Source organism: Homo sapiens, chromosome 8, assembly GCF_000001405.40.
Source record: "Homo sapiens chromosome 8, GRCh38.p14 Primary Assembly".
Taxonomy (NCBI): domain Eukaryota; kingdom Metazoa; phylum Chordata; class Mammalia; order Primates; family Hominidae; genus Homo; species Homo sapiens.
Window position 1 is genome coordinate 103,120,697 of NC_000008.11, and position 22,056 is coordinate 103,142,752.

General features: G+C 44.2%; 1 protein-coding gene and 2 long non-coding RNA genes across 5 annotated transcripts in view, besides 2 other annotated features; 2 read left to right on the top strand and 1 right to left on the bottom strand.

Moving 5' to 3' along the window:
* Positions 1–335: 335 nt before the first annotated feature.
* Positions 336–19,659, top strand: LINC01181 (long intergenic non-protein coding RNA 1181). The gene is made up of 6 exons (NR_145429.1): positions 336–517; positions 11,897–12,661; positions 13,701–14,595; positions 15,657–15,842; positions 18,510–18,672; positions 19,177–19,659. It is a non-coding gene; the product is annotated as a long intergenic non-protein coding RNA 1181 (long non-coding RNA).
* Positions 1,373–1,874: an enhancer, noted in NCBI's record as "H3K4me1 hESC enhancer chr8:104134297-104134798 (GRCh37/hg19 assembly coordinates)". NCBI's record gives its function as "activates a minimal SCP1, AML or CMV promoter by ChIP-STARR-seq in primed H9 embryonic stem cells {active_cell/tissue: H9 hESC(primed)}" and the evidence as "EXISTENCE:reporter gene assay evidence [ECO:0000049][PMID:30033119]".
* Positions 12,267–20,646, bottom strand: BAALC-AS2 (BAALC antisense RNA 2). Its single transcript, NR_027071.1, has 2 exons — positions 20,558–20,646; positions 12,267–12,673 (listed from the first exon to the last, which is right to left on the bottom strand). It is a non-coding gene; the product is annotated as a BAALC antisense RNA 2 (long non-coding RNA).
* Positions 20,029–22,056, top strand: part of BAALC (BAALC binder of MAP3K1 and KLF4) — an 89,581-nt gene continuing 87,553 nt past the window's right edge. For all 3 annotated transcript variants that reach the window (NM_001364874.1, NM_024812.3, NM_001024372.2), the window contains exon 1: positions 20,029–20,361. In NM_001364874.1, the coding sequence (NP_001351803.1) occupies positions 20,202–20,361 (160 nt within the window). In that variant the 5' untranslated portion in view covers positions 20,029–20,201. The remainder of the gene's footprint in view (positions 20,362–22,056) is intronic.
* Positions 20,065–20,254: a silencer, noted in NCBI's record as "silent region_19454". NCBI's record gives its function as "represses an Ori minimal core promoter by ATAC-STARR-seq in GM12878 lymphoblastoid cells {active_cell/tissue: GM12878}" and the evidence as "EXISTENCE:reporter gene assay evidence [ECO:0000049][PMID:35858748]".

Genomic DNA, 22,056 nt, shown 5'->3' on the forward strand with positions numbered 1-22,056 from the left:
CACTCAACAACAGAATCCTTTGTTGGCAGAGCACAAATTACCCTCTGTCTGTTGAACAGTTTCAGAAAGTTTATGAAGCACTTTTCAATGAGGTGTGGAGTAATAAATGATTCAGCAACACTTAAGTCCTGCCACCCTAGGCCTAACTGGTTACACTGTCATGAAAATTTACAAATTACATGGTACCAAAGACAATATAAACACAATCTATTGGGTAAACAATTGCATGATGGATTACTGTAGACTTATCAATAGTTATGGCATAATTCAGTCTTTATTTTTGCATATGAAAGGCTCTCACGCAAGCATTTTTCTGTAGCTCATTGGAATACAGTACAGATGGCCTGGATCAGTGCAATGTGCAACAAGAGGACTATATCGTCTCAGTAAAAACCTTGAAGAGATGAACCCATTTCAGAGACCCAGCAAGGGATCACCTGCATATACAGGCATCAGCAGAAACAGGAATTTGGGATTTATCCTGGAGGTAGTGGAAGCTTTTGGAGGTCTTAACCAGGTGAATGCAATGATTGGGTATATTTTAGAAAGCTCATTCACAGGGAGAGAGGACTTGAAGCGGGGTTGTTACTAGAGACAAAGAAACTAGTTAGGAAGTTATTTCAGGTAATGAGGGAGACATAATTTAGGGGCTAAACCAAGGAAGTGACAATAGGAATGGAGAGAAGGCACAGCTTGCGAAGCATTTAGGTGGTAGAACTGATTGACTCAGCTCTGAGGCAGCTGTGGGGGTGAGAAGCTGGGGTGGGTGAGGGTGGGAAGAGGGTGGGGAGGGTTGGAGGAGTCAAGAATGAACCATGACTTCTGGTTCGTGCAACAGAGTGAAGAGCTGAGGCCCCATGGTTTCCAGGCAGCCTGTGCCAGTGAGAGAAATGCAGAATAGAGTTTGATTTGAACTCTGGCTCTGTCAACGACTTGGTACTATGGCCTTGTGCAAGCAAGTTAACGTCTCCAAGCCTTACTTTTATCTTTTGTAAAATGGGACGATGATACCCCGCTCTTGCATGTGTGAAATAACTAACACATAGTCTGTGCTTCAGAAGTGAAGTCACTGCTACTCAGAGAACACAGAAGGAGAAGCAGTTTACAGAGAAAGATGAGTTTCATTTCAGAAACACTGCACTTGAGGTGGCTTGGACAGCCATGTGGAGGTGTCCAGTAAGGCATTAGATATATAGGTATGGAACTCAGGAGAAAGATCTGGGCTGGAGAGAGTTCTAGGGGCCACTGACTTTTTGATATTAGGCCAAGGCAAGGAGGTAAATGAGAACAACCAGAGAGAGTGTGGAGAGGGAGAGAAATGCAGGCCCTAACGGACGGCCTTGGGAGCATCACCATTCAACAGCTGAGGAAAGGAAGCAGAGCCGGCAAGGGAGATGTTCTGGAGCCTGCAGGGCTGTGCAGTCAGAAGGAGGCGCAAACCAGAATCTGAAGACGCAGGTTTGAGTCTCAGCTCCCTTGCTGACTAGCTGTGTGATCCTCGCAATTCAGGTAACCTCTGTAAGCTTGTCTTCTCATTCGTCAAATGGGAATGCTGCTGATAATGTCTACTTCCTGGAGACTTTGGTGAGCTAAGGTGTATAATTTTTTTTTTTAAGCTAGAGAGCCTTATAAGTGGTTCCATGTGGTCATTTTTTCCCCCTAGACTGAATCGGCTTACATCTAAAAGCAAGGTCACTTTAAGAGGGTCTCTGTGACTCTGGCCTTGCTTGCTCAGCAGGAATTCCAGCCTGCTCAAATTCCTCTAGGCAGCTCTGGGATCCCTGGGCAGGAGGTACAGTACCTGATGCCTGAGTGCCCCAAACCCCTTCCGAGGAAACGGGGCCTTAAGCACAGGCCCTCACGTTGTCCCACTTGACTTCACCACCCTGGCTACACCTGGTGGGAATTGGGATGGGCCCTGTTCCCAGGGGAGCTGACCAGCTGACCAGCCGACCAGCCAGCAGCTCCCCACGTCTGCCCGGGGTGAGACAGGAGAATACGGTCTGGAGGCAGGGAACATAAGACTGATTCATGCTGACTTCCTAGAACTAAATCAAATGGAAATACTTCAGCTATTACAGGAAATATCCTCACCATTGACACAAGGCGTAAACCCAGTAAATGTCTTTGTAACTTTACTTGATCCTCTTCATTTACACAGGGCGTACACCAAGTAACCAATGGAAACCTCTAGAGGGTATTTAAACCCCAGAAAATTCTGTAACAGGGCTCTTGAGCCCCTATGCTCGGGGCCACTCCCACCTCATTTTCAATAAATCTCTGCTTTTGTTGCTTCATTCTTTCCTTCCTTTGTTTGTAACTTTGTCCAGTTCTTTGTTCAAGACCCCAAGAACCTGGACACCCTCCACTGGTAGCAAGGGGGCCATGTGATAGAGATCCTGCCCCTCTCCTGTATGGACATTTGGACTCAGCAAGCGAGGCCAGAGTCACAGAGACCCTCTTAAAATGACCTTGCTTTTAGATGCAGGCTGATTAGTTGCCAAAGCCCAGCAACTGGCAGGATGGGAGACATGGTGACAGTGTCTGGGTGGCTCATGGAGCCCCTCACAGCCATGGGTGGTGGCAGGAAATGGGCAGAGGTGCCTGGTGCCCAGGGTGGGGCTACTCTCCACCTGCCTTTGTCAGGCTGCTTCCCAGTTTCTTTTTTTTGGTCTGTGTTCTTGTGTGTCTCACAATGCACTCCATTTGTTAAAGTAACTTGAGAACGTGGCCATGTCTTGTGGCTTAGAGGAGGCTAATTGTCACGGGAGACTCTCACGATCTCTCAGGAGGGAGTGGAGTTTTCTCAGAATAAAGAGCATCAGCTACAGTGAAGAATGGAAATGGGGCTAATGTCTATTGACTGGGGACTGGTGAGCAAGATCATGGCACCTCCGCACACGATGAAATCCTGCAGCTGGAAAACAGAACAAGGAAGCTCTTTGTGTACTGATAAGGAGTGATCTGCAAGATATTTTCCTAGGTGAAAAATGTGAGCTTCAGAATGGTGTAGCAAAATGAAACTCAGAAAATATCTCTAGAATATTACACCTCATCTAATGACGCTGGTTGCCTATGAGGAGGGAAGCTGGGGGCCTGGGGGCAGTGATAGGAGAAGAAATTTTCACTAAGCATTGTGTAATAATTTTCCTAAATCTTGAATCATGAAATTCAGTCACCTCTTTAAACAATCAAATCAGAAAAACATCTATTAAGAACATGACCTATAAAGTTGAGCAAGTCCTATGCTTGGGCTTGCCCCCACAATTTATTGCTGGGTAAAGTTGAGCAAGTTACTCAACCTCTCTGAACTCATTTTGCTCATCTGTAACATAATCACAGGCTTGCCTCCACAATTTATTGCTGGGTAAAGTTGAGCAAGTTACTCAACCTCTCTGAAGTCATTTTGCTCATCTGTAACATAATCACAGGAATAATACCTGCCTGATAGGGCTGATTGGTTATTGTTGTTGTTTTGTTTTCTTTCTTTCTTTTTTTCATTTTTTTTTTTTTTTTGAGACGGAGTCTCACTCTGTTGCCCAGGCTGGAGTGCAGTGGCACAATCTTGGCTCACTGCAGACTCCGCCTCTCGGGTTCAAGCGATTCTGTTGCCTCAGCCTCCAGAGTAGCTGGGACTACAGGCGTGTGCCACCGCGCCCAGCTGATTTTTGTATTTTTTAGTAGAGACGGGGTTTCACCGTGTTGGCCAGGCTGGTCTTGAACTCCAGACCTCAAGTAATCCGCCTGCCTCAGCCTCCCAAAGTGCTCAGATTACAGCTGTGTGCCACCACACTTGGCTGTTGTTACTGGTTTTCACACAAGGCATTTTCCATTTCCCATTTTCCTCTTAGCCTAATAGCATGCTCCTTAAGCTACAAAACTGCAAAGCAGTGCTATCCTTTGTTTGCAGTTTTCCTTTTTCTGTTGGGTGCTCTCCATAAGATAAGGGCCATTGAGGTTGGGCCAGGTAAATTAAAACCAGCCTCTACTGTACTCAAAATTATCTCTTCTATTTGGAATGGGCTCATTGTCTTTGGACCCAGCCCATGCCTGACGCTCTCTTTCTTTAAAAAGAGTTCTTTTCCTAGCCCCTTCTTGGTCCCCACTGCAAAGTTTTCTATGGATTACATAAGCACTTCTAGATTCCCGGTGAACACAGTTTACCTTAAGCTATTAATTAAAACATTCGTTATTATTACGGTGCCCATTTCCCATTATCTTCAATCACAGTATTTTGTGCATTGTAGTCACTGAAGTGTGACCAACATTTCATTCCCGCATAGTGATGCCTCCAGGGCTCGTGGACTGGACAGTCTAGGGTCGTGCTCTGCTCTGCAGGAGACAGGGAGCACCCAAGCCAAGTTGGTTCCTACCTTCCCGGCACTAGGGGGTGCTGTCTTGTTTAGCTATTTTCTTAGTTTTATTTTTGCCTTTGAATAGATGTGCCTGCTGCACTTACATCTCCCTGCAAGGATAGCAAAAGCTATAGGAAGATGATTGTGGAAAGGAAAATAGGGTCTGTGCAACGAGCTGTCTGGCTTCCTCTCTGTGGGGAATGAGCATTAAGACATTCCCAGGCTCAGTAGGTCTGGAATGGGACCGAGATATGTGCATTCTAGTAACTATTCAGGTGATATTCAAAGCCACAGATGGGTCTTTTATTTCATTCGTGATTTGCTTTTCCCATCTTTTCTTTAAAATGTGTCTGCCGACTCTCACTCATGGTGGTATTGCCCCTCCTGGGCCTGCTGATCTCTGACTGTGTATTTATTAGATCTTCATCTGTGGGAGTCTTCTCGGCTTAGGTTGGGGGTGCTCTCTTTAGGGAAGATTTGCATCTGCTTCTTCTGAGAGCCATGGGTCACTGCCAGCTTGGAACCATTTAGAGCTCCTCGTGAGTTCTGGTTTAATGAAGGTCTTAGGTTTGGCCTCCCCTCCTCATTGCTGGCCCAAGAGTGAGGATCTGGATCATTTGCTCTTAGGGTAGTTCTGCTCCTCCCTGCTTGCTCACTGCTTCCAGCTCTAATTTCTACTTATAGTTTGCTCCATTTCATGTGGAGGAGTCCCTTGGCAACATCCTCTATCTCCTACAAGCCCATCTCATCTATGTTTTATCTAGGATGTAATTGTTTTGCAGAAGGAGAGCTGTATTAGTCCGTTCTCATGCTACTAATAAGGACATACCTGAGACTGGGTAATGTATAAAGGAGAGAAGTGTAATTGACTCATAGCTCCACAGGGCTGAGGAAGCCTCAGGAAACTTATAATCCTGGTGGAAGGGGAAACAAGCACATCCTTCTTCACATGGCGGCAGCAAGGAGAAGTGCCGAGCAAAAGGGGGAAAAGTTCCTTATAAAACCATCAGATCTTGTGAGAACTCACTCACTGTCAGGAGAACAGCATGAGGGTAACCGCCTCCATGATTCAATTACCTCCCACCGGGTCTCATATGTGGGGATTATGGGATTACAATTCAAGATGAGATTTAGGTGGGGACACAGCCAAACCATATCAAGGGCCTATGAGAATATTTGGTCTGAGATGTTATCAGTGGAAGTCTTTTTTTTTTTAATGCAGATGTTCTTATTTCTATGAGACAAAATGGTAATACATCTATTGTGAGGGAATTATTCATCAAACATATGCAGTTTTATCATTCTGCACTGTAGGAAGGTTGAAGGAACACGTGTCTGGGTGTAGTTTGTGTGTTACTTCTCACAGAATTACTGGTGTATTATATTATGTTCTATTCTGGGTGTCTTGAGGCCTGATAAGACAAGCATGGCCATGAGAAATTCTATAATTCCACTCGTGTCTCCACCTACCTTTTTCTTCCCTTTTGTCCAGTAAAGGAGGTGTCTCTGTTGCATCAAAGCCCACCCCACACAGTGGGTTCTAGATCCCGTCCCCTTCATCTTCTCAAGGACCCTGCTCCATTGGAATCCTCCCTCTGCTGCACCATCAACTCCCTCGCAGGGAGACAGTTCCCATCCCACATTTTCCCATCTTTAAAAAACCCACCCTTGGCCAGGTTTGGTGGTTCACACCTGTAATCCCAAGACTTTGGGAGGCTGAGACAGGAGGATCACTTGAGCCCAGGAGTTCAAGACCAACCTGGGCAACATGGTGAAACCCCATCTTTACAAAAAATAAAAAATTAGCTGGGCATGGTGGCACCCAGAGAGCCAGGGGTCACTGCCAGCTTGGAACCATTTAGAGCTCCTAATGAGTTCTGGTTTAATGAAGGTCTTAGTTTCGGCCTCTCCCCCTCGCTGCTGGCCCAAGAGTGAGGATCTCGATCGTGGCACATCTACCATAATTTACTCTTAGGGTAGTTCTGCTCCTCTCTGCTTGCTTACTGCTTCCAGGTGCTTGGGAGGCTGAGGTGGGAGGATCACTTCAGCCCAGGTGGTCAAAGCTATAGTGAGCCATGATCATACTACTGCACTCCAGCCTGGCTGACAGAGCAAGACCCTGTCTTAAAACAAAACAAAACAAAACAAAACAAAACAAAACAAAACCCACCCTTGACCCCACCTACCCTAATTCACTTTTCTATTCCTCTTAGGAACCAGATCTCTCAAAATATATGTCTATAGCTGCCACTTTCCCTTTTTCACTCTCCATTTGCCTTTGCTTTTACTTGGTTTCTATTTTTAGCAAGGTTATTTGCACATATTTTAAAGACTCAAGAGTTCTATAAGACTTGTTATGAAAACCAACAGTCCTCTGCTTTCCCCATCAGAGACAACTACTTACAACTCTTGTAGCTGCTTTTTCTTTTTGGCATTTAGCTCTGTGTTTCTGAATAAAATGCTAGTATTGGGCTACTTAATGATCCCTCAATTGTGAGCAGTAGCTATTGACTGCCCCTACAGAGGAGGAGGATTTAGCTCTCATTCTTTCCCCTTCCCACAGCATGCACATACATTCTTTCCACCTCCTACCATTCCTGCATGGTTACATCTTAACTTTCCTTGGTTCAGTAATCCATGTTTACTTTATTTTGATTATATAGTGATATCGAGAGCAGAGTCATCTAGTAAGCTTAGACTACTTTTTCTTCCTTACACAACTTTTAATTTTCCTTGGGAATAATTTTTTATTTGCTTAGTTTTCTACTTATTACCAGTCCAACTTCAAACTGCCATAATTTATCTTTCTGCTCAAAACGTCTAGATTTATGCTATTAGTTTTGTCCTCTTGAAGAATCCCTTCCAAAACCTCTGACTTTCTCCAATTTGGATTGTCTCCAAACCACCCTCAAGACCTGGTGTAGCACTGTTTTGTTTTGTTGTGTTTTCTTTTTCTTTTAACTTTTATTTTAGGTTCAGGGGTACATGTGCAGATTTGTTATATGGGTAAACTTGTGTCATGGAAGTCTGGTGTACAGATTATTTAGTCACCCAAATACTAAGCCTAGTACCTGATAGTTATTTTTTCTGCTCCTCTCCCTCCTCCCACTCTCCACCCTCAGGTAGACCCCCGTGTCTGTTGCTACCCTCTTTGTGTCCATGAATTCTTATCATTTAGCTCATACTTATAAGTGAGAACATATGATATTTGGTTTTCTGTTCCTGTGTTAGTTTGCAAAGGATAGTGGCCTCCAGCCCCATCCATGTTACTGCAAAGGACATGATCTCACTCTTTAAAATGGCTGCATTTAATGGTGTGTATGTACCACATTTTCTGTATTCGAGCTGCCGTTGATGGGCATTTAGGTTGATCCTATGTCTTTGTTATTATGAATAGAACAGTTTCTTTGGAGGTCTTTTCATCAGTCTAGGGATTCCCTTCATCTTTTGCCTGGGTCCTGGCTCCAAACTTTTCTTTCCTGTTTTGGTGGAATGCGTCTTCTAGTTACTTCTTCAGAAGTGCATGTGAGGTAAAATTTTTGAGACCTTGCAAATATAAATGCCTTTATTTTGACTTTTCACTTAATTGATGGCTAGGAATAAAAAATCTAGGCTTAAAATAATTTATTCAGAATTTTGAAGGCTACAGTCCACTGTATTCTAGCCTCTAGTCTTGTGATTGAGAATTCCAAAGACATTCTGATTCTTTTAAAACTTCTGTTTTTTATTTTTAGATACAGGGTCTTGCTATGCTACCCAGGTTGGATTTGAACTCCTAGGCTCAAGGGATCCTCCCACCGTAGCTTTCCAAGTAGCTGGGATGATAGACACTTGTCACCATTCCTATCTGGCATTCTGATTCTTAATCTTATGTATGTGACACATTTTTCTCTTGGAAGCTTGTAGGATCTTCTCTTTGTCCCCAGGTTTCTGAAAATTTATGATGGCATTCTTTGGGGTACGTTTAATCCGTTTTGACAGTTTAATTCTAGAAAAATTTCTTGAATTATTTCATTGGTGATTTCTTCCCTTCTGTGCTCTCTTATCTCTTTCTGGAATCCCTATTATTTGGGTGCTGGATCTCCTAGACTGATCCTCTAATTTTCTTTTCTATATTCTGTTTTTTTTTTTTTTTTTGGCCTTTTCATGCCTCAGTTTCGTTTTTCTAGCTCTCTACTAAGTTTTTCACTTCTTCCATCATATATTTAATTACCAAGGGCTTTTTGTGGTTGTTGATTGTTCTCTAAAGGTTCTATTTTATTTGTATTCTTTTCTTTTTTTAGGGTTGTAACATCTCCTCTGATCTCTCTGAGGACATTAAATACAGTTTTCTTGACGTTTTCTTCCTCTTATATAGTTCCCATTTTTTTCCAAGTAGCTCTTTTGCATTAGAGTCTTTCTTCAGATATCTTTTAATACCTGCTGTCTGCTTATCCTTGACTGTGGAAACCAAAAAAGCTGATTTGAAGCTTTGTTCACCTGAGTGGAACTTACCCACTATGAGCTTCACAGTAGGGCAATCTGGCTTGACTATTTCCTTGGGCAGCCCTGATGTATCGTTAGGTGTTTTCTCTGGATTGGTTGGTTTTCCAAGAGAATCTTTCCTACGTGTGCTCTGGCAGGTGAGGAGGGAAAGAAGCCTGAAAGTCTCAGCACAGGTAAGCATACAGTCTCTTAATTGTCCTATTTGATATTCCAGTCAAGAGACTCATTGTTTGATCTTTTCCAGAGAATGAATCCAGTCTTCTGCCAGGATGGGGAAGGGCATCTATTAAGAGTATGGTAGGGGTCTGCAAATATAATTCCTTTTTAAATTGCTTTCAACTAATTCTCCTTATTTTAATGCCAATTCCCACCCACTTGCCCTACCTCTATTTTTAAAGTTTCCGGTGCCACTAACTCCTGAGACTTTGAAAAATTTGAGGTGCAAATGGTGTTGGTTTTAAGTTTCCTCACTACTGACATAGGATTCCACCTTCTTCAGCCCACTAAATTAGCTAAAACTTCTCCAAATGGTTTCCAGCTTTCAAAATACTGTGGCATTTTTGTCCTCTCCCCGTCTTACCATCCTCATGGGTTTATGTTAAAGATAATCACTTTAGTGTTTGTGTGTGTGCGTGTTTGGCTTGAGAAACAAGTAAAATTACATGCATGTGTTCCCATCTACTCATTAACCCACTTGCTCTGGCTGTGAAGCTACCCCTCCACTGCCACTTTTACCAAATTCACCAGTGATGTTCATGTTCCCAACAATGGGCTGTTTTTCATCCTTGACTCACACAAACACTCAGGAGCCTTAGTCAAAATTGAATGCTTTCTTCCTGACAGGTGCTCTTCTCTGGGCTTTTGTGACACTATACCTTTTTGGGTTTGTTTTCTGCTTCTTTGATTTCTCCTCCCCAGCTTACTTCTCAAGTTCATTTTCCTCTGCCAGTCCTCTAAAGAGGGGTTTCCTCAAAGCGTGATCTCAGGCCATCCTCTTTCTCTCTCTCTATGTCTACCACTTTCTCCTTAGGAAATTGCACACTTTGTTCATGGCTCCAACACTGATCTTCTTTTGATTCTTCATCTTCTCTATCTAATTGCCTACTTGTCTCCCAGGCATGTTTAACTCAAAATATCCAAAACAGACATCCTGATTTTTTTTTCTCCAAATTTATTCCTCATTAAGTCTTCCTCACCTACCTAGATATACAAGCAGAAACTGGAAAGTCATTCTTGTTTTCTCCCTCTTCCTTACTTCTGACATTTAAAATATCAGCAAGGCTTCTTACTCTACCTCCAGAATGTGTCTTGAATCTATCCATTTTCTCCATCATCACTGCCACTGCCTTAGTGTATGAATCACTATTATCTCTTGCCTTGACTATTGTAACAATCTCCAAACTGATTTCCCTGCTTTTTCTCTGGGCTCCCCAAATCAGTTCTCCATACGAGTGATCTTTTATTTCTTTTCTTCTCTATCTCTTTTTTTTTTTTTTTTGAGACAGTCTCACTTTGTCACCCAGGCTGCAGTGCAGTGTTGTGATCTCAGCTCACTGCAGCTTCCACCTCCTGGGTTCAAGTGATTCTCCTGCCTCAGCCTCCCGGGCAACTGGGATTACAGGTGCATGTCACCATGCCCAGCAATTTTTTGTTTTTGTTTTTGTATTTTTAGTACAGACAGGGTTTCACCATGTTAGCTAGATTGGTCTTGAACTCCTGACCTCAAGTGATCCACCCACCTCAGTCTCCCAAAGTGCTGGGATTATAGGCATGAGTCATCGCTCCCAGCCACAAGTGATATTTCAAAAACAGAAAATCAAATTATTCTCTCTTTTAATGAAAATACTTTTCATTGCCCCTAAAACAAAATCCAAACTTGTTACCATGTTTTCTGCACCAGACTTGCTTTTCCCACTAGGGCCCCTTGTTAATTCCCTGGATGCTACCACTTCTGGGTACTAGTCTCCTGCTAGGACATGGAGCTCTAGAGGTGCCAAAGCACATCTCTCTCCCACTTTTGTACATGTTGCTTCTGGTCAGAAGAGTGCCAAATGAGTGGAATCTATCCCTGAACATCAAAGAGCTTTGAGTGAAATTATTTTCCAAGTTTCACTTATAGCCTCCTCCTTTCTATAGGATTTGGCCACAGGTTCACGGAGGAAGGGAATTTGGGGAGCCGAGGAATGAGCGGGGCAGGAAGCACATACGAACGTCCTGCACCAGGCTGCACTAAGAACCTTCCCTCTGTTTGATGGCTAAGGCCTTGCTTTGTGAGCAAGCTTGCTGTCCTAAAACCTTCCTCCCGGAAGGATTCTCAGTCTGTTAAGAAAATAGAGGCCACCCAAACCTTTGTCAAGATATGTTTAGAAATATTTGAATAATTTAGCTTTAACCTATTCCCCACCACCACTACCACCTACTTTTCTTTAATTCTCTAATCACCACTATTCCCCCCTAGAATATCTGCATGCATTCTTGAGGTACATTGTCCTTTCTAATGTAGGGCTTATTCAGTAGGGTGCTTTTTAAATATATTTTTAAAAATCCTAAAATTCTGTTCTTTTTTGAGATGCTTTGATAAGAGTAAAACTACCTGCTTTCTGGCCTCTGTGATAGCAGCAGTTCTCTGAGATTCATTAAGTTGCTTGCTGGTAGCTGAGAACTTGAAATGCACATCAGTTAATTCAACCTTGTGAAAGAATGTATCAGGAGACAAAATCAACAATGCAGATAATTCAAACATTCTACCAGCCCACACATCATTTTTCCTAACTTATTTCTCCTCAGAGCTGCCAGGCTAAAACTCTGTGCAACATAGATAATAAACAAATTCAAATCATCATTTTTCTATTCATGGCCTGTTCCTGAATTTGGTCATATGACTGTTTATGAGGGAGTTCTCAACTGTGGAGGGAGTATTTTTTTACCCTGTTTTCAGTAACTGTTCTATTTTTCTCGATTCTGAATAGGATTACTCATAGCATAGATGCTTCTTGGAATTGGAATTTTTTTCTCAAGGCTTTAATCATTTCTGATTTTCCTCCCGTGAACTGTAGGACAGCACATGTGGCTTTCCTGCAATGGGATCGTCCTTCAAGAGGACCTCACAGGCTCTCCACCCGGACTGTGACGTAAGCAGCTGCAGCAGCCTTGGATGTTTCTGGATAGCCAGCCCCATGAGAACAGCTTTAAAATAGGAGACTGGCATTGTGATGAAGTGTGGACTTCGCTGTCATATAGACCTGGATTTAAATCCTGGCTTCAGTGTTTATGGATGACGTTGGACAAGTCATTTAACCTCCTTAAGTCTCAGAGTTCTCATTACGGAAATGGAGCTCTTAATAGTACCTACCCCCTAGTGTGGTTGTGAGGGTTGAGATCATCTATGTTCAAAGTGCTTATTATACAGAGACGGGGACATGTAAGTGCTACATAAATGTTAGCTTTTATTAGTCACTGGAGTGGAGGAGAGAGGACTGTTGCCTCCTTGTCAATGTCCCCATCCTGGGAAGCCTGCCTGTGTGCACCAAGGCCCATCTGACCCATATATCAGAAAAGGTGCCCTTCTAGGGAGCGACACCCCCCACCAAGCCCCCCAGTCGCTGTCCATGCTTTCCTCTAGGTTCAAAATGCAGCTGCATCTGTGCAGAAACCAGGTGTTGCCTGTGAGTTCTGCCTCGCTGGCCAGAGGTGGAAGGAAGGAGGAAAGGAGAGGGGCCTCCATACTTCCAGAGCCCCACTGGGGGTTACCTTCGCTTGCCCCCACTCTTTTTGTCTTGCTCTGAGGATGCCAGGACTTTAAGGACATTGTCAGCGAGCACGTAAGTTCACCCCTGCAAGGTCAAAGGCAGGACAGAAAGAAGACCCAAAGGTCCCAGTTAGTCAAGGAAAAACAATCACAAGAATAAAACATTTTTAAAGATTAAAATAATAGCTGCCATCTGTTGAGCAGTTGCTATGTGTTAGGACTTGTGTGAAACATGTTCACACAGTCTCTCTGCTTCCTCACAATACTGTGAAGTAGGTATTGTGCTTAATTGAACATAGGTTCATTTAAGAAAACAAATGTAAATATCATTCTAATCCTTGATTTAATTACCTCAAATTCAGGCAGAAGCAGATCAGCCCACCCTAATGGGCAGTGTACCAGGAGCTTCGTGTGTAGGGACAACTTTCACCTTCAAAATGCCCTGCGGGCTGCCTCAGCTTCTTTTCCACCAGCCCCTGGGCTCCCAGCTGTCTCAAGAGGCAGTGTTTTGCTGGGTAGTTACAGTGAAAGACCGGATTGTCCTGCTCATGTTACCCCCGTCTCCCTATTTACTATAATCAGGAAGTCATGTTTTTCATTTAGGATAAGGCAATTACTCTTCTGTTGACTGAAGTCCAGCAAAAAGCAAACTGAATCTCATTTCCACATTAATGCAATGGGGGCAGGATGGAGAGGCAGCCTGATTTCCTGGTGTCTCAGCCTCTCTCTTCTATATCTGTATCTCCTCTGATGGAAGCATCTGTCGTAATAGCAACAACCAAGATAGCATTGAGAGAGTAAACTATTGTAGTCCCTTTCCCTCATCTTGGGAAATGATGAATAAAAGTCACCATCTGCTCCCCTGAGCCTTGCTGTGGTGCGACCTAACTTTACACGCAAGTACAACGAATGACCTGCCCCATCCTAAGAAGCAGTAGAATAATATGAAAAAGACTTTTTTTTCTGCTCTGCCTGGGTAGACAAGCAACTCTTTGCCAAGGGAAAGGAATAAGACATATCATGTCTCTTTAATGATTGAAGATCCAGGTTAACTGTGGTAGAATTAAGCAAAGAGCAAACAAATGTTCTGAATGTGTTTTCTTTTCTCTCAGAGAAAGAATCTCAGTCATCTGGACTGCTTTGTGCTATATGAAAATCTCTGAGAACCTTCAAGAGCCCAAAAACAGTTCTCCTCCATGCTGTATGCCATGGTCAGTGGTTAAAGAGAACATTTTGTTCCACTCCTCCAGCTCTGCCTTAGAAACCCAAGCCCTGCACTCCAAGGCTCCTGGCATCGTACACCAGCACCAGCAATTTTCTGCCAAAAGCATCAGCCAAAATCTATTCTATCTATTTCAGTTCCTCTCTTTTCATCGGATTGTATTTTTACAGGTGATTGCTGATTCTCACACTGCTCTTCAGATTCATGTACAGCTGTGGTCTGAATGTGTGTGTTTTCTCAAAATTCAAGTTTAAAACTTAATCCTCAATGTGATAGTATCAACAGCTGCGGCCTTTTGGAAAGTGAAGGTGGAGCCCTCGTGAGTGGGATTAGAGCTCTTATAAAAGAGATTGAAGGGAGCTACCTAGCCCTTCCATCTCTTCTGCCTTGTGAGGACACAGTGTTCATCCCTTTTGTCTTCCCACCATTTGAAGATGCAGAAAGAAGGTGCCATCTTGGAAGCAAAGAGCAGCCCTCACCAGACACCAAGTCTGCTGGCACCTTGATCTTGGACTTCCCAGCCTCCAGGACTGTGAGAAATGAATTTCTGTTGTTTATAAATTACCTAGTCTAAGGTATGCTGTTACAGTAGCAGGAATGGACTAAGACACACATTGTCAAAATCTTCATGAGTTAAAGGTGAAGGTACAATCAGAACTGGTGCATGGAATTGGAACCATAGGTCTTAGTAAACACTGTAAAAATGCACTATTCAAATCTACAGAAAATGCTCTCTCTTCAAGTTCAGAAAGAAGCTACAATCTGCTTTTCCTTTTTTTCTGAAGGGAAGTAAAATTCTATGTTTCTGGACTAAGAGGTCTACACCCCAGTCTTTCTCTTTCTGACATGTATAGTAATCTTTGGCAAATTACTCAAGCTTTCTTTGTTCTGGTGAAAATAAAGTGCACAGGACAGTATTACTAAGAGGCCTGAGCAACATTAGAGGTTGATAACGATGGTTCCAAAGGCCTTTAAGAAGGTGTAATGCTATGTGGATGTTTTTATTGAAACCTTCCCTGGGTTTTCAGAATTCTCTTTGGAATTAGTCCTGTGGGAATATGCCTTTTGGGATCTATTCTCACCTCTTATTCAGTCCCCCTTTTCTTGCATTACAATCTACAATTTGAAGTTATTCTGTCATTTAAAAATTAGGTCCATGACCTCATCATCACCGGGTTTTCCTCTCCAGGCCATTTCCAGTAGAATGTTGGTCATATTCTCATGTGAGAGAACAAATCAGTTATTCATTACATCTGATCAATGAGCTAGTACTACACCATAAGGAAGTGTAGTAAAACCAGAAACTGGGAAACACCCGAAAAAATTTGCTTTGTCCTGTGTTTTAATTTGGGGTATGATAAAGTGCCACAGGACATTAATCCAGGGACTGAGATAGACTCTTAAGTTTGGCAATCAGTGAAAGAACTTGCTGAATCTCTCTAGAATTAACCTAAAGGAGCCAGCCTCTTTTCTCATGAGAACAATTTATTTTAGGGTTAGTGGTGAATTAATTCTACAGTGTTTAATTCCACATATAAACTTCATTTTCTATATAAATGTTTTGTTGTAACATATTCAATTACTTCCTTTTGTTGTTTTTCTGCAACATTCCCTTTTTCACCTTTTCTAACCTCTTAAACCAAATAAAAAACTCACTTATCTTCTTGCTGTTGTAATATTTGCTTTCCTTTCTTGTTTATACTCTGTAATGATGTTTACCCGATCTGTCCACATCACCTGGATTCCAGGTGTACCATTCATGCCCTGGGGAAAGCAGTCATTCTTCAAGGCAACAGATGCAAGAATGAGCTCATGTCAAATGATATTTTCTGATTTTTTTCTCCAGATGTGGGGAACGAAATTGGATCTTGTGCTTTTGGGTGCTAACTTTGAGCCCTCTTCCTTTACATCTAAATGACAATTTGTGGATCAATGAGGATGTGTCAACTAGCCAAGATCGAGGACCTGGAGGGGTGCTCTGTGGAAACTGCTTTAAAATCCTTCAGAGGGTGGGCACGGAGCTCTGGTTCTGGTATGTTCACTGAATCTGTAGCAGTGGGGAAACTTGCTGAGATTTGGCATTCAAGACCAAAGAGATTTACCTAGGATCTGTACCCTGTTGGCCAGAATTATTGCTACTGTTGTTCTTCAATTATGCTACTTTTTCACTTGGAAAGAGATGGAAACTTGTAAGGCAGTGAATCTATCTTTACTCCTTTTCAGATGGCTGATTCTAAAGGCAGGTTTAGGTTCCTGCTAACCCTTCTGTTCTGTCCTGATTGTCCGCCTTACTGAAGGTCTGTTTTCTACAGCTCACAATAGTCGGGTAGAGTCCAGTGATGCCAAGCCACAGAAATGAGACCTTGGAGGGAGAAGCACTACAGGCCTTTGCTTCAGTTTCCATAGAAATGAGCCAGAGGTGGTACCAGTCACAGGGGTTCTTAAAGCCAGAGAGAATTTATTTTGAGAATCCCATCATATAGCAAATACCACTCTGCAGTAGTTTTTACAGGTGTAATTTATTTCATTGCTCTGGATGGCTTTGGCTCAGGCTTTCCAATGCCCTGTTGCAGCATTTCTCCTTAGGAGAATTCTTTTTTTGTTGCTTTCAAACTTGATGGAAAAAGATAACCAATTCATGCCAGTCAAGCTACAGATTCTGAACAGAGGGTTTAAGATAATGTATTACATTTTACATATTTACATTTAATTTATGACATTTATTCCTGAAGGTTTAGGAGAAAATTCAATCCCAACTAAAGAGCTGTAATTAAAAGAGCACGGAGCCAGCAGCCACAGGCCCCCAGCTCTGGCTGAAACTTCAGCTCTGCCAGAGATAACATTTCCTGTGTGACCTTGGGCAATTTTACAGCTTTCTGAGCTACGATTTCCTAGTTGGTAAAATAAAAGGACTGGATTGGCTGCTCTTTAACTTTTTCTGGCTTCTGAATTTCTCTGAATCAATGGTGTTACGTAATGCCAAGAAAGAGATTCCATGAAAAAATCTAACTGCTCTGTCGATGATGATTACTTAGAAATGGGGGTAAAAAAATTTATTTGCAGGAAGGTTGTTAGCAGTAACATCATAACGGAAGGAAAAAGAAAGGAAAGAAAAGAAAAAAACCTACCTATTTACCAAACTTCTGCAGTGTGCTAAGCAAATTCACAAACATTATCTCATGTGAAAAGACATAATAATTTCAGGGATTTCCCTCTTAAGGAAGAGAGATGACATTGTTGCTTGTTGCCCCAAAAGTGTTGTGATAGCAACATTCATGGAGTGTTTCTATGTGCCAGGCACTCTTTGAGGCCCTTTACACATACTGACACAATTTATTATTCCAATTTACAGACGATGCAGTTGAGGCATAAAGAGGTTAAGTAGCTTGCCCAAGACCATCCACTTAAGTAGCAGAGCCAAACTTTAAACTCAGAGAGTCAGGCTCTTGAAATTGCACTGTTAACTGTATCCCCACCTTGTCTTTTGCTATTCATTCATTAGGCAAACATTTGATGAGCACTGACTCTATGAAGGCATTAAGTTAATCCCTTTTGAAGATTCCAAGCATGTCACCATATCTTTGTCTTTAAGAAGCTTAAACTATACACAATAGATGATCAGAAATGTGTGTGAAATGAGTGACCACACTCAACCTTAGCCAGGCAGTACTTGATAACCATCTCCTGTATTCTGGAAATGTTCATAATTCCATTCAAGTAAGTAGACAGGGCCTGGCAAGAGGGGTCCCTGCTCTGGGCTCCTGCCCCAGAGGTCCCACTCTGGTTCTCCAGCCCTGGTCCTCTCTATGGCCAAGGAATCCAGGGATCACAGAATGCACGTACCTGGAGCCTGAGTCTCAGCCCCTTCTAACCTCCCTGTTGGGTAGTTGAGACCTTGCAACTCTCTTCTCCAAACCCACTGAGCCTACTTCCAGGGCTTGTACTGGAAGCAAACCCCATGAGGGCAGACCACATCCCCCAGGCACATGCTCCTCAGCCAGAGGGATGGCCAAGGGCAGCTATTTGTGGGAGGGGAGTATGGACAGACCTTAGACCCATGGGCCCACAAGGACCCGTGTGTAGCAGGACTGAACTGAGGATAGAAAGAGGAGTGGGTGGGTCAATTCCACCCACAATCCCACTGCCATGTTCAGTGCAGAACTCCAAAGACTGAGAGAACTCTACATTAGAACCTGGCCTTTTAAGTTTTTATGAAGATAACTTGTCAAGGTATGAGGACAGCCCATGTTTCAATTAAACTTGCTCACTTGGTTTATAGCTTTTACAATTTAGACATATGGGCATGTGGGTTTCTATTTGGCCCCAGGATACCCCTCCACTTCACCTCACGTTTACTCTGTTTCCTGTGCTCACCAAGCTCTAGCTCTTTCAGTTTCTTTCGTTTTCTAGAACTCCCCCAGGACGGTCTAACTCAGACACTCTTTCTGGTCTGTCTGCTCTTTGGGTGGTGACATCACGAAGTGGCTGGTTATGAAAGGAGCACTGTGCCGTAGAACTGAGGAAAGCACAGGCTCTGCTAGAGATGTTAAGTATTCTCTCTCCCTGAAAGCTGGTTCTTCTGAAATCAAAATATTCAGGGGGGAAGGAAAAGAGGCACAGGGCATCTGAATTCCAAAGGACTAGGGAAGCCACCACTTCCCGGATAACTGCACTCCCTCCACCTTACACCTAAAACAAGGTTGAAGAGTCCTGTCAAGGCCATCTCAAAAGGAGAAGCAAAGCCTGCAGAGGAGGCCAGCCTGAGTCCTGGGGTGCGAACGGGTGCTGCGCTCAGCATGAGGAGGAGGAGACCCTGGCCACAGTTCCATGAATCTTTGCTCCCTTCCACATTATGGATTCTGGTGAGTGCCTGCCAGAGGAATGTCTGACAGCTCTACCCTCAACTGGATCATCTTTAGCCCAAATTACAATAATTTAAGTGAATCAAATTACTATAAAAAGATACTTCATTATTAATTCACTGGACATTTACTGAGGGCCTACTCTGTGCCAGGCAATGCTCTGAACTTGCCCTACCTATTGGATGCTACGTGCTAAATGTTATAGACAATGTACTCTCGTACATTCTATAAATTATATAGGATATAATGAGTACTATATTCTCTATGCTTTACATGCTATATTAAACATCACACCCTATAGTCTACATACAATGGATAATATACAAAATATATTATATATGTATTATGTCTACTAGAACAGTCTTTTGCCACAATAGGAATTTAGTAAATATACATTGAATGAATGAATGAATGAATATGATACTTAATACCATATTCTAGCAGAGCTTGGTCATTGAAGAGTTATTCTTCCAAACCCTTCCCTTTCCTACCCCCCTCTTGAAGGCTAAGAAGATTTTCATCTTTCACCACCTGTTCTGGATTCTTGGAACAGGTAAATTCATTGGCCTACGCAAGTCTGAGCTCTAGGTCTGAACCCGCATGGACCTGAGGGTGCACCGAGAAAAGAAAGGCTGACAACTGGATCCCGGGAATGTCAAGGCCACCCTGGGCTTGAAGGGACCGGCCATGCCTCCAAGCCTTGCCCAGAGAGGGGGTTCAGGATGCTGCGTGGTTCCAGGTGATCTATTGCTTTCTCGAGTTTAAAGTTCAGAGGATCATGAAGTACCACAGCTGGAAGGGGTGTAAGTGACACTGCCTAGCCTAACTCTCTTAAAAATCATAGCCCTACTCCTGCCTCCCCAAATCAGATACGACAGGCATAGGCTCTGACTGTTCCTTAAGTCTTAGTGGCAATACTCCCTGACCAGTTTTGCGGGGTTGCTCCCAGTTCCATTGCTTTTGTAACAGGTGGCCAGAAAGCCTGGGGTCCCGTGATAAGAGTTTCAGTTCTTTCCAGGATGGATGGAAAGAAGGAAGGAAGGATGGATGGATGGATGAATGAATGAGCGGGTGAGCGGATGGATGGATGGATGGATGGATGGATGGATAGATGGGCCAGAGACTGGGAACGGTAATGCCGGCCAGACGGGTCCGAGCGCCTCGGGAGCCCCAGCCCTCCTCCGGCTGCGGGGCCGCTGCTCCTGCTCCCGGGCCGTCACGGAGCCCTGAGGGAGGGGGCGGGCGAGCGGGGGCCTTGGGGCGGCCAGGGCGCTGGGAGGGAGGACTGGGCGGTGGGGACCGGAGGGGAGGGAGGGCCTTGGAGGCGGAGAGGAGGGACGGGCTGGGAGAGGGCCCGGACTAGGGGCGGCGGGCACCGCAGGAGCTCCGCGCGGCTGCAGCGCGGGCGGGAGCGGGGACGCGATGTCGCCGCCGCCGCCTCCTTGCGGGCCGGGGCTGCGCCTCCGGGGCTGAGCCGCCGCCAGAGCCGACAGCCGAGCAGCCGCTGGGCGCTCCCGCGGCGCAGGAGGATGGGCTGCGGCGGGAGCCGGGCGGATGCCATCGAGCCCCGCTACTACGAGAGCTGGACCCGGGAGACAGAATCCACCTGGCTCACCTACACCGACTCGGACGCGCCGCCCAGCGCCGCCGCCCCGGACAGCGGCCCCGAAGCGGGCGGCCTGCACTCGGGTAAGTGGCCGGGCCCCTGCAGACCCTCGCCCGCCCGCTACCCCGGGCGCCTTGGCCCGGGCACTGAGAGAGGAGCCGGTTCCCTGAGGAATTGATGGCGCGGCGGGGGTGGCTGGGAGGAAGCAGAGGCAGGACCTGCCCACTGATCAGTGGACAGATGCAAGCCCAGGGAGTGGGGTCGACCAGAGCCCCTTACCGAAGGCTGCGCCGATGCCCCAGCTTCCAGCAGCCCAATGCTCTTTGGCCTTGTCCAAAGCTTGCTCGCTGGTCGGGAGACCGGTGGGTGGGAGGACAGCCCACCTCCTCCGCACACATATCCCTCAGCCACCCACCCCCTGATCCGCCCAGGGCCGCCTCCGCCCCGCTTTGGCCCATCTGCCATCCCCTGGCCACCTGCGTACCCAGCCGGGTGACTTCTCATCCATTGGCCACCTGGTGCCCCTCTCTCCCTGGATTTATACACAAGGCGCCTGCCTGGGATCGCCTGGGTGGAGTCTTTCTTGTCGCTTCCCCTTTTCTCCCTCTAGGAAATGAGCCCACTCGCGGGCTTCAAAGACCAGAATCCCAGTTTAGGTCAAAATAAATGCACCCCGCCCCATCGCTAGTTCTGCACTTTAGGTTACTTTTGGAGCAGTTGTTCCATAGCAAAGGACTTCTCTCCCTACCCTATGGTGTCCCAATGCTTTGCAGGAGGCAGGGCACACATGTGGATTTTGACTATAAATTAAATACTCTTGCCTAGGTCATTCCTCATCCAGCAGAAATCTGATAAAAGGAGATGCAAAGAATTGTCTGGTCAGGTCATAAGTCAGGATTTTATTTTATTTTATTTTTTTATTTTTTAGCAGAACAAGTAATTATAGCGCAGAGATGCAAACTGTTGCCACAGACTGACCTTTAATCATAAACATATTGGTGACATTAAAAGGAAAAAATCTCACTACTTATTACATGGATGTTGTCCAAAGCAAGGTCAATATTTGGATAAAAATGTTTTAAGTGTTTCTTCACCCACTGATATTATTGGCATTTTTGAATAATGAAATCTAAAATGGAAAATAGGGTTAATTTGAAGCATAATGTATAACATATGGAAGAGGAAGGAAATGCGAATTACTTTTACAAGGTTAAGAATCTTAAATCCATGCCTACTAAATAGAGCTGTCACTTTAATCAAGAATAGGTTTCTCCATTTTTAAGGACCAAAGCTGGCTCCTTTTCCACATTAACTTTGTGACTTGGTTTTATTTTAAAATTGAGGACTGTCTGTGAAAGCTGTACAATACATTACACTATATTTGTCTCCAGTTTTTCTGACTCACAGTGGCAATCAGAATGGTTATTTTGTATTGCCAATGCTTTTAGCAAGTCACCAAATGGTGTGTTGGCTGAATTCAGTGTCAGCATGAGGATAGATATGAGCCTTTTAGAGGGACCTGGTAAATGTTAGATGTGACAGGGTTTCCCAAGGAGGTATGGTACTTCTCAGCAGAGAGTCAAAGGCCAGAGATGTACTCCGAAGAAATAAGGGTGAAAAGATCTAGCATGAAAAAAATAATAATAAAAAACAACCAAAACCCCGTAAGTACAGCTTTAAGAAATGGTTGCCGTGGTGACTGGGAGTATATGGTGTGTGTGTGTATGTGCGTATATGCATATGTATGGGTATGAAAGAGTTATTATGGGATGGCTCTA